Source organism: Homo sapiens, chromosome 2 (assembly GCF_000001405.40).
Source record: "Homo sapiens chromosome 2, GRCh38.p14 Primary Assembly".
NCBI lineage: Eukaryota > Metazoa > Chordata > Mammalia > Primates > Hominidae > Homo > Homo sapiens.
Window position 1 is genome coordinate 224,465,799 of NC_000002.12, and position 15,998 is coordinate 224,481,796.

Consider the following 15,998-nt stretch of genomic DNA (forward strand, 5'->3'; position numbering starts at 1 on the left):
TGTTTCTTAACAAAGGTAAAAGGTAGTGAAATAAAATCAGGGTTTAGACTCATTTTATTACTATGTGGTTTGCCATTTGGTGAACTGTGTATCTAGTCCTTTATAACAGATATTATCAATATAAAAAAAAGAAAAAATTACCAATCTGCCCTTTGGCTGTCTACTTTTAAGATTTGATGTCACTCATCATGCATATACAAATGTGCACACTAATGTACACATATATGCATACATGCATACAAGTGCAAAAAACGTACGCAAAAATAGATTTCAGTAGTGTGACTTTTCACAGCTGTTTTAGTTCTTTTTGGGTCATATTGATTGCAAAAAGTGAGGAAAATGGAATTTTTAAGGACTATAGGAAGTTCTTAGTAGATAATTTGTATATTTCAGGAAGTTACATTAGCAAAAGAGAGGGGAGAATACTATGATCTGGCTTTGTTTATAAATCAGTTTCTACACAATAAGCTCAGTTGATTACAGCATGATGTAATCAAGCTAATGAGACAGCTCGGGTTCATATGCAAGACCATTAACTCTACAAAAGTAGGGGTACCCTCCCCATTGTCTCATAAATGAATGCTGTTGTCATTAATGGGTCAGAATGAAGTTAGCATTTATTGAGAACTCACTAAGTGACAGATACCCTGCTAAGAGCTGTTACAGTGACAGCATGCCACCAGCTGCTCCTTTGGGAATTTAAGCTTCAATCTTCTAAGAGAGGTTGTAGAAGGGAAAGTCTCCCACAGTAGTGACAAAGCCATGCATCACTCAGTACTGCCACTGGATGTATTGTTAAGTCCTATGGAAAAGGAAATTTATATGGAGAAGTAAACATTAATAGGCTGTGTATCCACATGCAGGCCGAAGGAGCAATTACTGTGGCCAGGGTCATGAGAACAGCAATAATTAGTGAGTCTCCAAAGGGAAGGTGCATCTTTAGGGGCCAAAGTACAGGCTGGAAAGGGGCCCTTCCTGCTTAACCAATCTCGAGAATTGGAGTTTGATTTTGCCAAAGAGTTCATAGGTTTTCTTACATATTTAAGACCTTAATCTGTGTACTAATTTGATGAAATTAGTTTTATGAGTCTCATTTTGTTTACAAGACATAAAAGTTTTACAAACATGTATTTCTCTTAATTTGTGGCTCAAGAGAATATGGATCATTCTATGAAAGCTCATTAGTGAGAAATAATCCAAAAGTTATGTTTGGGGCCCAGCATGGTGGCTCACACCTCTAATCCCAGCACTCTGGGAAGCTGAGGCGGGTTGATCACCTGAGGTCAGGAGTTCCAGACCAGCCTGGCCAACATGGTGAAACCCTGTCTCTACTAAAAATACAAAAATGGGCTGGGTGTGGTGGCTGCACGCCTGTAATCATAGCTACTTGGGAGTCTGAGGCAGGAGAATCGCTTGAACCTGGGAGGCAGAGGTTACAGTGAGACAAGATCATGCCACTGCACTCCAGCCTGAGCAACAGAGCAAGACTTTGTCTCGAAAAAAAAAACCCAAAAGTTACATTTGAGTATTAGGGAGTTGGGAGTACCATGGTTCTTAAGGGAGTCACCTCCTGTCAGATTAAATTGACAATCATCAAAGACTAAATCTCAGTAGAAACACTGCATCATCTAGGTTGCAATAAAAATAGCCAAGATTACGGTTTATACTTATGTTTATGATCTTACAAAGTTGGTGGTACAAACATCTCAATTTTTGTCACCCAGATCTCACTAAATTGCTTCACAACCAATGGTTGCTATGGGGAAAAAAAAATCCAAATCTGTTCAGTAGGCACTCGCTTTTTTCTTAGACTTAGAATCACTCTTTTAGTGTTGCTATCTAAACTCTTAGAAATGGGATAGAGGTCACTGAGCTTTGAACACTTGGTTTCTAAATTCAACTTCTCCCAGTGGGAATACCTAATTAAAATGGTAAGATCACAGGTTGCCCTTTGCCTAGGAAGACACTATTACCAATTCTCCCTCTTCCTCCCCCTACCCATTAGGATCCACTGAGAGTTGGTTAGCTGTGATTAATACTGTCATCTGTGACCATGAGTAAGTAGCTTGAAATTAACTGGTCCACTTTGTAATCAAACCTCATTTGATCAACATGTTGTCTTAACCAGATGAGGCATTGTAACTGCAGATAAATTATGTTAAAGAAAACCCCACAACTTGCAAATCACATCAACATTCTCATCTGATCAGTGAAATTGGAAGTTTATGTTTTATTGTACCATGTACAATCAAAAGCAATGGTTCTCAAACTTAGCTGCCCACAAGAATCACCTCAGGCTTATTAAATAATAATCTCCACGAGGGACATTACTTTTTTGTTTCTTTGTAAAGCTTTTCTAGGAAAATCTGGTGTGAAGCTAGATTGAAAAACACCAAAGCACTTGCCACGCTTCTTTTGGAATTGCTTTTAAAAATCTATAGCACTCTTGTATAGCCTTAATGATTACAAACTTTCATTTCTATGAAAATGGCTTACATTTTTTTTTTTTTTTTTTGAGTTTCACTCTTGTTGCCCAGGCTGGAGTGCAATGGAGCGATCTCGGCTCACAACCCCCGCCTCCCGGGTTCAAGTGATTCTCCTGCCTCAGCCTCCTGAGTAGCTGAGATTACAGGCATGTGCCACTACGCCCGACTAATTTTGTATTTTTAGTACAGACGGAGTTTCTCCATGTTGGTCAGGCTGGTCTCAAACTCCCGACCTCAGGTGATCCGCCCACCTCGGCCTCCCAAAGTGCTGGGATTACAGGTGTGAGCTACCGGGCCTGGTGGCTTGCATTAATTTTTAATTAGCTCAAGGGAAGACTGGAGAATATGGATGCCTTATTACAAACTTGGATAATACTAATTTTGGTAAAAAAAAAAAAAAAAAAAAAGGACTCTTAGGAGTATTGCATGAGTCTGTAGGCAAGCTTAAGAGGAGAATCTTTAAAATGCGATGAACACAGTATGCATACAGACTTTCTTGCCCTGAGGGGTACCCTCCTCAGCACCCTCTCCCCCATCAGATGTAGATGTTGAAATAGGTTTGTGACCGTCTATTTTATAGTCACACACATACACTGGTTGCCTATTGCTAGAGTTGCACTGGAACAAATGCAAATTCTGTCCTTTTCCTCACTTGATTTCACACTCTTGAGGTAAGCTTCCTCAGTCTCTTTCAGTCTACAATTCCATTCCATTAGAAAAATTTTTTAATACAGAAGATAGTATTACATAGAAAGTAAAAAGGTTCATTCTGTAGGTATTAATATCTGACATCAGTTGTATAAACTTATGAGAAAGAAAATACTTTATACCATATACCAACATGCATAGCTGATATTGCCTATTTTTTGTGAAGGATCTATAAAGTTTTACAAGATCAAGTTCTCCAAAAACATTTTCTAATAAAACAATGCAAACTTTCACCAAAATATGTGCCAAGAAAATCTACCTTCAGATTCAAATTCAATTTTCAAGGTTCTGTGCAGTCTGCCAAAACAGCCAGTAATTGGGGACACACGCTTTTAAAAGCACAGGTTTTGGAATTAAGAGACTTGGGTCCAAATTCCTGCACCCCATTAACTATTAGTGGGATTTCGTAAAAATTTTTATGTCACTAAGCCTGAGTTTTTTCACAGGCTCTCCATAGGACCAAATGATCTAATACCGGTCAAGTTCTTATCACAGAGATGCTATGCAAGAGGGCTTAGAAGTCAGCATTTAACACAACATGCCGACTGGGAACAGTAGCTCATGCCTGTTATCCTAGCGCTTTGGCAGGGCGAGGCAGGAGGATTGCTTGAGCCTAGCGGTTTGATGACAGCCTAGGCAACACAGCAAGACCCTGTCTCTACTTACAACAACAACAACAAAAAAAAAAAAAAAAAAAAAAAAGCTTGCATGGTGGTGTGCACTTGTGCTCCCAGCTACTTGAGAGGCTGAGGTGGGAGGATCGCTTGAGGCCAGGAGATTGAGGTTGAGGGTGTAGTGAGCCGCAATTATGCCAGTGTACTCCAGCCTGGATGACAGAGCAAGATGCTGTACACACACATACACACACACACACACACACCCATCTGCAACCACGTAAGAGCTGGTCTGTATTTTCCACTTTTTACCTAAAGTCAAGTATCAAATAACTTCTACTTATAAAAATATCCTTATACTGTCATAGCCCCAATAGTGCAGTACAAATTTTAATGTGAAGTTCAATTCTTTTAAAGATTTTCTTTCAAGACACTGAGTGATCATTTAGCACATTCATCTGAAGATTTACTGAGTGCCTACATCCACTACATACCAGACATCGTGCTGAGGCATTTATTCAAGAATCACAACTGCAGAAAGAATTCTGAGACTGAGAATTTTAATTTTCCCACATTGCAATAAATCTTGTATGCAATAAAGTTTATTAGTTGAACTGTCCTGTTATTAAAATCTTGAAATTTGACAATTTCATTGTTACTAAAAAATACACGTTTACTTTGAGCTGCTCATGTATAATTTTAAAGCTATTTTTGCATGGCTCACTCGAGGTCAACTTAGACCCTAAAACTGAGCATCAAATTACTTAAATGACACGCTTACAAATTTGCCATTTCTAAAATTAAATGCACGGGTTTCAAGACATCCTAGTTGTTTTTCTCCTGAGAGCTGGCGTAATGGCCAATCTCTGTATCATTACCTGTTAAATTTATCTGCCATTCTTAACGTCTCTTCTTCCTTCTGGCTAATTTGACATAGGAAAGGCACACAAAGGAAAACATTTTGTAAAACTGTAGATTTGAATTTAAGGTACATGCCTATCTGTGGTACCCACTTAAGTATGTAAAACTTTCTCTAAGATTGTAGGAGACAAAGCGCCTATTTTCTTTTCAATGGACACATTCCAGAATAGCAGCAATCACCTTCCCTGTTTTCCTTCCTACCAAAAGTTGGTATCAGCAAATAATGTAAAGCTAACAAAAATGTGCAAAATTCCATATTGCAATGCTTCATGTATTAACTTTAGTTTGTCACATTACTATTCATGTGAATGAGGTACAAAATAAATGAAAATTTTTTAATATGGAAAATCATGTCAATTTGTAACATGGAATATGGATAGGATTAAACCTAGGTCCAACTCCTGGCTCTGCCATTTCCTGCTAGCAACCTTGGACAACACTGGTATAATGACAGTTATGTCACATAAAGCCAATATGACAACTAAATGAATGAATATACATAAAATATTCAGAATAGTATCTGGCATATGATAAGCACTTAAATGTTAACATTTCTAATTATTTCTGCTTTGAGGACTAGAAATGACTTCTAATTTTGCTGACCTGAAATGTTTTAACATTCGTATTTACAGAATGCAAAATACTATGCAACATATAGTAAAATACATGACCTACAATTGATATGCAACAGCTTTCCTTCCAAGATTGACACAATATACCATATACTCTATAAAAAATTATTCTATGAAAGTCTTAAGTTACAGTAGACAGGCAAAGATAAAAATCTTTAACACTAGTTACTGAAAATGAGTATCTTAAACTGTAAACATTAAAACTGCTTTCCAAATTAAGGAATTAAATAATATTTAGAAACCTAAGATGATGCCAGTGTACTAGTCTTCTAGAGATGTAGGCATAATCTTAAAACTGGTTCTAGGCCTTTTCTGCTACCCAACATATCCGGTGAACAAAACATCAACAGTGCTTCACTATGAGAAGGATTCTTACAGAGAAGGCCTATCATCAGCATCTTGGGGGTTTGATAGTACATAATTACAATGCTACACAGGTGACTCTAGCATACCTTTAGAAAGGCATGCATCTCTTCCCCCATTCCCTTTTTAAGTTCACTGACATAAAGAATCCTTGCAATCACAACCACTTTTTGTGAGGCTGTGCGTTCCCTAATTGCAATGAATTTTCAGTCTTTAAATAATGTTAACGATTCAAAATAAACACTGTCCTGGACTTGATAATGAAGGCAGAGAATTACACTTTAACAGTTACTGAAGAGATGACATGATTTTTGCAGTTGAAAAACTATGTATCCACCCTCCTTAAAAGTCTTCTAATAAATCACCAAAATTTCTCTGCACCAACAGGATGGAATGGTTAGGATGCATTTTTCTTTCAAATTAAAGCATTAAAAACTGAGAAAAAATAGCATCTGTGACCTCTTGCTAAAAAGAAAGCAATGTTAAATGTATTTTGTTATAACCTTTATGACCTAAAATAATACTTATGCAGTCAAACATATAAACATTTTGTGTGACCAGTTTTTTCAGTGCAGCATCACATCGCCAGCAATCTCCAACCATTCAACTGCAATTCAGAAATGTTTTAATGTATTTAGAAGCATAAATATCAAACCTGTGCTCCAAAGTTAACAAGTATGTCTCTAAACTCTAGATCTGATTTTTACAGCCACACTTGAGACAATGACGTAAACTTAAACTTTACTTTTAATGGCTTAAACTAGCACTAAAATGTTTAATGTCTCACTTAGGAGATTTCAAATAAAGTTTTTACATCGCTCATGTTTACTAACTCGACAATCTGAGCTGTCCTGTTTTCCCAGGTGTTAAATATCATTTAACTGGGAAATGAAAGCAATAAAAAAATTCTCAAACATGAACTACCATTACTTTCCTATAAACATCTTACCATTATAGAAAATTTCCAATTATGTCAAAATCAGAAGGTGAAACCCTTAGCTTTCCATGTTACACCTGACTTAGTACTACTCAAGTATGGTAAAAGTGTCCTGAGAATAATGTTCACAATACTTTTCATTGGCATCTTAATTGCATCATGTAGAAGTGGAAAATGTAGAGATAAAGAGCACAAGGCTTGTAATTCTACAGTACAGATGGAGACAAAATTGCAATAAAAGCATATTTGCAAGTCTAAAAGGAAAATTATAACCCAAGACGCATGGGGAAAAATATTTATGTGGAGTTTTTAATCCATATTAGAATTCAGTTGTTGTAACTTGACCATAAATTTAAACAGAAACCATCTTCTGAGACATACATTCTAATAAATGTATCAACAGTACTGATAGTCAACGAAGGGTCAATTTAAACTTATTAGTAACATTTCATTTTTCTATCCAACAGAAATCTATAGTGGTTTGCCCCATTACATATCTGAAACATTGTCTTATGAAAACAAAATGAAACAAAATTAAATAAAATTGAAGATAAAAATACTCTGGAAGCACAGGATATCTGACAAGAATCTTCAGCACAAAGCACATGTTTGAAAACGTGAAACGATGACTCTTTGGAGGACAATAGCTAAATATCCAAGAATCATCAGGTTTGAGAAATATTGCTTAATCACTTTCCAAAACACAGCTGCAAGAATTGAAGATTTCATTAAAACTATCAAGGTCATCATATTTATTGCATCTTTAGATTGCATTTTGAAACAGAAAATTAATAGTGCACCACAGCTTCACCAAAATATATATTTAGGGGCAGGGAGGACCTAGGGTATTTATAAACAAAGTATAGACTGTATGTGCTTTTCAGAGGGGCTGAATTAAATATAACCAGCTGCCAACTTTGTGCTCTGACATACTTGAATTAGTGGGTATGTGTATACTAAATTCATTATTTTTGTCTACAATAAATGAAATAAAAACACCACCCTATACAATCCACTATTAGCAGTGAGTACAACAGCAAAAAAATTATTGTACAATTTACACATACTAAAATACTTTCTTTCTCTAGAAATAACTCAGAACAAAACCTAATCATTATAAGACTTAATTTGGGAAATCTCAAATTACAACAGGGAGAAACCAAATCAGGATGTGTACTTGAGCCCAAAACAAAGGTTCCTGGTCATAAGGCTAGAAGATGAGTAAGTGCAAGTGGTAGAATACAGCATGCTCAAATTGTATGCTTGGGTCTTTGTATATTTATCAAACCTTTAAAATTAAATAAGACTAGCTAAAGAAATGTCTTCAGAGCAAGATAACTGGGAAATCTGCATTTCTTTTGCCATTTTTGTTACCCAACTTACACAATGCGCAAAGTGCTAAGCAACACTACAAAACACATTTACATCAACACTGAAGACCTGGGGAAATGAAATCCAACAATTTTATTGTAATGAGCTGTATTTTCTAAATTTCTCTTTTATTTTCCTGTTTTCATACAGTAAAGAAAACAAAACGCAGCACATTCACATTTTCCCGAGGAACTGTAAAGATGATCTCTACAGGGATAAACGTTGTAAAGCCTGAAGCTCAATCAACTGATGTTGGAAACTCTCAAAGGGAGTAAAGGCTTGATCTCAATGGTCTAGAACATGTACTGTAATTTAATAGAAGAGATGGTCGTCTTAATATTTAATGATTTAAAAGAACTTCCCAGTCCATGCGAAGAGTACAGTCCAAGAATAAATCAAATTTCTGAACGCATTTTATGCTACATATGTGTATACTTTGCGATCCTCAGGTGTTCGTGCCAAATATTCTCTCTCAATAAGTCCTTCAATACGTTTCTTAATAACAACTGGACTTGGTAAGAATCGCGCCTTCAACTGCTGAGTTACCTAAAAAAGAAAGTAGATAGTATTTTTATATAAACACATAAAAATTCGTATCTTTGAACAGAACTGATATGTCATTTTAACACTCAGAGACTGAACTTTACTAACTGGATTACCAAAGATAAAAGCACAGAAACTTTAAAAAGGTTCTGTTTGAAAATGTAATATTATGGTTACAACACACTTCCTCAAATCAGAATGTGAATGCTAAAGTGGATAGCAGTTGAATAATTGAATTAGTTGGAATTACAGTAGTGTGAGCATATGCCACCTATAGTTTAACCGTTTTGATGCTGTTATCTACTGAATTCTGAGTTATACTCAAAACTCACAGAACTTGGGTAGCCTATGTATTAAAGAACACAAACTCCGGACTCAGAGTACCTGGATAAACTCAGCTCTACCACTACTAGCTCTGGGACCTTGGCCCACTGGTGTGTACACTAAATGTGTTAACAGATGTAACGCCTTAGAATAAAGAATAATGCTGCCCAATCATAGTAAGTGCTTCTGTTGGTTTTTTCCAAGTACTATCAGGATTCTAAGTACTGTGCTATATATAATAATAAAATAATAACTAAAGCAGCAGTCATAGTCTGTCTATGCACTATTCATCTGTCATTTTGCATGTATGAGTTTATTTAATTTATTTTTTCTTTTTTGAGATCGAGTCTTGCTCTGTTGCCCAGGCTGGAGTGCAGCGGCGCAATCTCCGCTCACTGCAAGCTCCGCCTCCCAGGTTCCCACCATTCTCCTGCCTCAGCCTCCTGAGTAGCTGGGACTACAGGCGCCCACCACCACACCCGGCTAATTTTTTGTACTTTTAGTAGAGACGGGGTTTCATCATGTTAGCCAGGATGGTCTCGATCTCCTGACCTTGTGATCTGCCTGCCTCGGCCTCCCAAAGTGCTGGGATTACAGGCGTGAGCCACCGTGCCCGGCCTATTTAATGTTCTTAACCCTGCAAAATAAGTTGTCTCATTTTACAAACGAGGAAAATAAAGCCGGAGAAGAAAACTGACATCAACAAGTAGTAAATAACAGAGCCAACAGAGATGAATCTAAACCTTTCTGACCTCAAAGTCCATGTTCTTTGCTCTAATGCATCCATGAGCCAGCTTTGCTTTTACTCTTGTTGATCAGTTCATTTCCCAAAGCCACAATGGATTGATAATTCTTTGGAATCTGAAAATTCAGCACTTCATTCTGCAACTACAATTTATCGCCCTTCCAGGATTACCACTCCTGTATCGACAAACTTGCTCTCAACCCATCACCTGAGATCTCCCACCCTTTGCCCTTCTTTTCTTCCAGCCTATTAACAGCTCCTATCGACTTGCTCCCTCCCCTGTTTAACCGAGCCTAAACTGCATTCAAGATCACTTCTCTTGAAAGCTGCACTCTCAACAGGACCTTCTACTCCTGATTCTTTTGGTCCTATCCCATAAACACTATTTGATTAAACCTATATTCTATATGTACTACATCATTATCAACCTACCACAGAGGTCTTTGCTGAGTAAAGATGTAGTTGTTAACACCGTATGTGTACACCAGGAGTCAGCAAACTGCAGTCACAGGCCAAATACACCCCACTACCTGTTTCTGTAAAATTTTACTGAAACACAGTCACATGTATTTATTTATTTTTTATTAGTTTTTTTTTTTGAGATGGAGTCTCGCTCTGTCGCCCAGGGTGGAGTACAATGGCACGATCTCGGCTCACTGCAACCTTCGCCTCCCAGCTTCAAGCAATTCTCCTGCCTCAGCCTCCCGAGTAGTTGGGATTACAGGCACCCACCACCAGCTAATTTTTGTATTTTCAGTAGGACGGGGTTTCGCTGTGTTTGTCAGGCTGGTCTTGAACTCCTGACCGCAGGTGATCCGCCCACCTTGGCCTCCCAAGGTGCTGGGATTACAGGCGTGAGCCACCGCGAGTCACACGCATTTATGTATTATCTATAGCTGCTTTCATGCTACAATTGGCCATTTACAAAAACATCTGCCAATCTCTGGTGTAGACTAACACAAATTTATAGTATTCAAAAGTTCAGCAAGTTCCTGAGCACCATTCTTCGACAAGTATTATTTCAAATTTCTGACAATCCCCTTAAACTCCTCAACCCAGTCCTGCACCAAGCTCATATCGGGTTTCACATAGAGAAAAGAAGCCATTTCAATTTGAAGTTCTTTAAATACCCACCCTACACATGTACATTTATCCATACTTACACCAAATCTTGCTTAGCACATACCCCTGCACCCTGCCCTAGGTTCTCAGGAAGAGGCATGTTCAGTAACATCTGTGTCAGTACACTACCATCATCATACTCTCTATACAATCCTCACCTTTCCTTTTCTAGAATGTGGTATTTATCCCTTCATCTCATTTTTTTCAATTTAAGGATCCATTCTTTATTCATAGGATATAAACATGCTCAGTATCCTCCCATTTTGGGGGGGAAAAAGCCCAAACCCTTCAACTCTACACTGAATCCTCTAATACTACTCTCTCTGCCCTTTCCCTTGAGCCAGTACCTCAAAGAATAAGCCACTCTTGGTGGTTTCCACCTCCATTTCCTTCTCAAGGCACTACCACTGGATATCCACTTTCACGAGTCCAATGAAAATGTCTGAGAAAGTTAACCTGTCACGTAATTGCCAAAGTGTTTATTCAACTTGGTTTTTCCATGATTTTTTATATTACTGACCACTCACTCCTTGTAATTCTCTTCCCTTGTCATAGGACACTGTCATTTTGTTTTCTTTTCCTTCTAAAGCAGTGTTCTCAAATTTGAAAAAACATCAGAATCACCTACAGCTCGTGTTAAAAAACCAGACTCTTGGGCCCTATCCTCAGAGTTTCTGATTCAATTCTCAGGCTCTGGTGGAACCTAAGGATCTGTGTTTCTCATGAGTTCCCAGGTGATGCTAAGGTAGCTGTTCCAAGAACCACACTGTGAAAACCAGTGCTCTAAAGAGTTTCTGTTGTTACACTCACTGTTCCTAAAATAAGGGAGGGGTCTATCCCATAGTTCTTTCTTGCTCTCCATGCTAACACTGAGCAATTTAATCCACACCTGTAGTTTTAACTGCATTCTCATATAGCTAATTCCCAATGCAACTTCTAGCCCTCATGTCTATTGTCTTCCACCTGCCCCTGGATGTGCCAATACACAATAAAGTCAACTTGTACAAAACAATATTAAGTGACATCTGGACCACAGCGGCACATTACATTACCCTTCTCTTTTTGGTTAAAGAAACAAACCTCTATCTACTCATTCAAGCCAGAAACCTAAACGGCGTCTTCAACTTCTCCCTCTCACTTCCCATTATCAATCAGTAAAGTCTGTCAATTCTACTTCCCAATTATCTTGATTCAGTTTTCTACCCTCTACCAATACTTTACCCAGGTCCTAATCCTCTCCCACCTATCTTAATGGCTTCCTAAGGGGTCTTCCCCTCCTTAGTTTCCCAATTTGTAAAATGAAAGCATTTAATGAATGGTAACCATTATTAATTTTTAGAAGTAAAGGGAGTTTGTTTACACAAAGGTATTAATAGCAGTGAAAATCTTTTCTTAATACTTCATGTGACAATATTCTACTATCATTTTAGTTATAAACACATTGGTTCCGAGAGTGTGCACATATTTGGATGTATCACCATGTTTAGTTACCAAGTGAGTGCCATACATTTCATAAGTGTTACATCACTAGGATTTCTTAATTGTAAAATTGTTTTTAAAATTAGTTGAATACAATAATTTTGTTAATAATGTTACTGTTTTTTCTATATTAGCCCAGTAGTGAAGAGTCCTCACCTCCGCTACTAGAACATTGTGCTGCATCTTCTTTCTAGATTTCATTATCCGCACTATAGCAGCTTCTATCTCATGTTTTCTGTCGTCGTCTACTTTCTGCCTTGTTTCTTTCCTCTCTGGGTCGGATTCACCTTGTTTGGCAGCAACTAAAATAGAAATAAAGACATTTATCATAAATCTAATTTTAAAATTTGGTTTATAAGCAAGCTTATTATAATTCAATGTAATCCACAGATAAAAACCAATTTCAGCCTCTGAATATACACACTTATTAATTCAAGTACGCATTCAGAAACTGTCTTAATGTTTACTTGAATACTAAATTATCCTTTTCAAAAATGAGGAATTTAACTTTGAGATAATAAAGTTGATTTTGTTTTTATGCAGAATATAATTTCTTACCTGGAAGAAAAACAGTAGCTGAAAATATTCAGTAGTAAAATTACCAGTAAATAATTTTCATTGCTTATGACTATCAGAGGTCAATTGATTATTTTATTACCATGGCTCCAAGTTAAAACTCACCAAAATTATCTCAGATAGGTATCTGTTGTCTTACTAACTCAAAATGTAGCTGTAATCTCTAAGGCTTTATGAGGAGACAAGAGTATGTACTGCCAAGATTCAGTCAGTGAAATAAATAATTTAAAAGTACCACTAGGATGTCAGTTCCTAAAATCTCCTTGCCAAAAATCTCCCTAGAGTTCTGTTATCTAACCATTTCTTGTCATATATTTTATTATGCTTTTTATGTCACAACCTCATCACAAATTCATACCAGATTCCAATCTTTAGGAGTCTTACTCTATTCTTCCCTATAGTCTTCAAAGCAACTGTTAAGGGAAATACAGAAGTCGTCTTCTCCTGCAACTCTGCTCTGAATGAAATAGCAGAAAAAGAAAACTGGTGTTTTATTCGTTCACCAAAAGGAGATAGATGTGAAGTTTCTGGAGGTAGAAACCGTAAAATTGCAAAGCAGCACATGGGGCATTGCTGACTGAGGCATGGGCATAGATAGCCACGAGACAGCAGATTGTACAATTTAGAAGATCATTCTGGTGTGCGTATCCATTCAACTGTTTCTAATTAGAATCCTTTGGATAAAAATACTGCTTTCGGTGTCATTTCCCAAGTGTAAGATAATCAATATCTTAGTAAAAAAAAAAAAAATTCGATGAAAATAATCTACTAAGAATGATGCTTATGATGCTTTTCCTCAGAAGTTGATGTCATGAAAAAATAAAAAGATAGAGGTACTGGTTTAAATGAAACTAAAAAGACATAAAAATTAAATGTAATGTGGAAATCTTGATGGAATCATGGATCCAAAAAGTGAGATATAAAAGAAATTTTTGAGACAACTGAGGCAATATGGGTGGTAAACAGATGACATGAAATTAATTTTCTTGGATATGATATAGGAGACGTGTGCTAAAGTTTTTTAGGGGGAAACTACTGAGATATTTGTAAATTAACTTCAAATGCTGTAGCAAACACATACACACACACAGAGGAAGGCAGGGAGGAAGACAAAATTCTAATGACTGGTAAACGTAGGTCACAGCCATATTGATATTCATTATAGTGCTTTTCACTTTCTTTGTGGATTTGAAAACAAAAAATACAAAGTTGCAGGGAAAAAAGTAGTTGTTTAAACAATCCCTTTGGCTCATCTGGATGTGGTCACCTAAATAAGTGTCTTCTTAAATACCTGCAGAAAAACATGGATGTGCAGATCGTGCTGATGAGTCAAAATGAGTATTCTTTTTAAATGGGAGGGGAGGGGCTCACTCTGGAGCCTAACACAACACTCCTCACTTGAGTGCAGCAGAAGGGGTTGTTGTGCAAGTGCCTATATATGACCTATATGCACGCTGGGGGATGGAATTTGAGAAAGGCAGGTGGTGGTGGTGGTGGTGGTGGTGGTGAAGACTGTCAACTCTGGAAACTGCCCCCCCAGATTACAATTAATCTAATTCTTTTCAAAGGCTGTGTTATTTTAGTAATTCCTTTAACTTCTTTGCATGAACTTTTACTACTGGCTACAGTAAAAGCAGCATAAATAGGTAGGGTCTGAGTCTTCGAATATTTGATTATGTTACTGAGCCTTTGACAGTAAAACCAATGTGGTCACAATATTTACCACCAAAGAGAAAATTTTGACTTAAACTATGAGTAAGAGCCAAGATCATTTAAAAACCATTCCCAAGAAAAAAACATTGCTTTGTAGAATTTTATTGCTGAAAAGAACTTTTAAGCTCTAGTGAAATTCATCATATATATATTTCTGTTTTGAACATACCTAAAACACTACATACACATACTCCAGATACACACATAAGTGTGCACACTTAACACGAAAATCTAAAAATCTATGAAGACTTTTTTAAACATAATACTAATATCTGATATTATTATTGCTGGACATGATAGAATCTGGGATAACAAAGACAGTTACTTATTTAGGGTACAGTAGGGTGAGGGTAAGGCAATCCAGATAAATATTCCCACATATTTTCCTCTAATTCTAGGATACAAATGAGCCCTAAAATCCAAAACCTGCATCTGCCCAAATGTATAAAGTAGTTATGTCTTGCATTGGAAGAAAAATAAATTTTATTCCATGACACTGGCTAGCACAGTTTTGTTTTATTCTTAATATATATTTATGTCAAGACATGGGCCAATCTTGGCTAATGCAGATTACTATGATACAGTTTACAACTACAAGACAAAGGGGGCAAAGCCTTGCCAGAGACACTACTCTGTTCTACAAAGTATACATACGAAACAAAAAGATCAAAATGAAAAACAAAAATTTAAGTGTGCATATAAAGCTCTAGAATCCATGTACTCTGGTAATCAACTGTATATTTAACATTACTTTTAAAAAGACTATCATAATATACAATATAAATAACATTTTTTTAAAATCAACAAATGACAGTCATTTAAAAGATCATCTTATTTATCTTAGGACACTGTTTTATTGCACACATATTTGGCTGTAATGAATATATTAGTACTAGGAAGCCTATCTAATACTAGTTTTTAAGCCAAGTAGTAAACAATTAGTTTTAAACATCAATCAGCAAGGGTGGAGTGCCTTTTTTCCCCTTTAAATACACAGAAAACAAGCATCTTACATTATGTTAAATGTTTAATGAATAGAATTTTCATTATCGACTTATATGGCTCTATTAAAAATCATTCACATCAGTATCATTTCTATGTTTTTAAATTAAAGAGGATATGGGTTTTAAGATTTTGAAACAAAAAATATTTATCAAAATATAAATAGCAACATCCAAACATCAAACTTTTATATAGGTCTCCCAATTCTGAAAAACTTCTAAATCAGCTTTAAAATTAGACTTCCACTGACTATTAGTTAACAACTTAAAAACAATTTTAAGTACCAATATGTTCATAAACTGTATTCTATTTATTGAAAAACATGAAAAGAAATACTTTGTTCACACTATAAATTACTTTTTAAAATGCTTACTGTACTTGGATTCAAATGCATTTTGATACAAATACTTATCAATAAAAGCTGCTTTCTTTCTTAAGCCTAAGTATCATGCAGCACCAGAA

At 36.4% G+C, this 15,998-nt stretch overlaps 1 protein-coding gene across 7 annotated transcripts in view; it reads right to left on the bottom strand.

Annotated features, from left to right (window-relative positions):
* Positions 4,352-15,998, bottom strand: part of CUL3 (cullin 3) — a 115,214-nt gene continuing 103,567 nt past the window's right edge. For all 7 annotated transcript variants that reach the window (NM_001257197.2, NM_003590.5, NM_001257198.2 and 4 more), the window contains 2 exons: positions 12,402-12,547; positions 4,352-8,578 (listed from right to left, as the gene is read on the bottom strand). In NM_001257197.2, the coding sequence (NP_001244126.1) occupies positions 8,447-8,578; positions 12,402-12,547 (278 nt within the window). In that variant the 3' untranslated portion in view covers positions 4,352-8,446. The remainder of the gene's footprint in view (positions 8,579-12,401; positions 12,548-15,998) is intronic.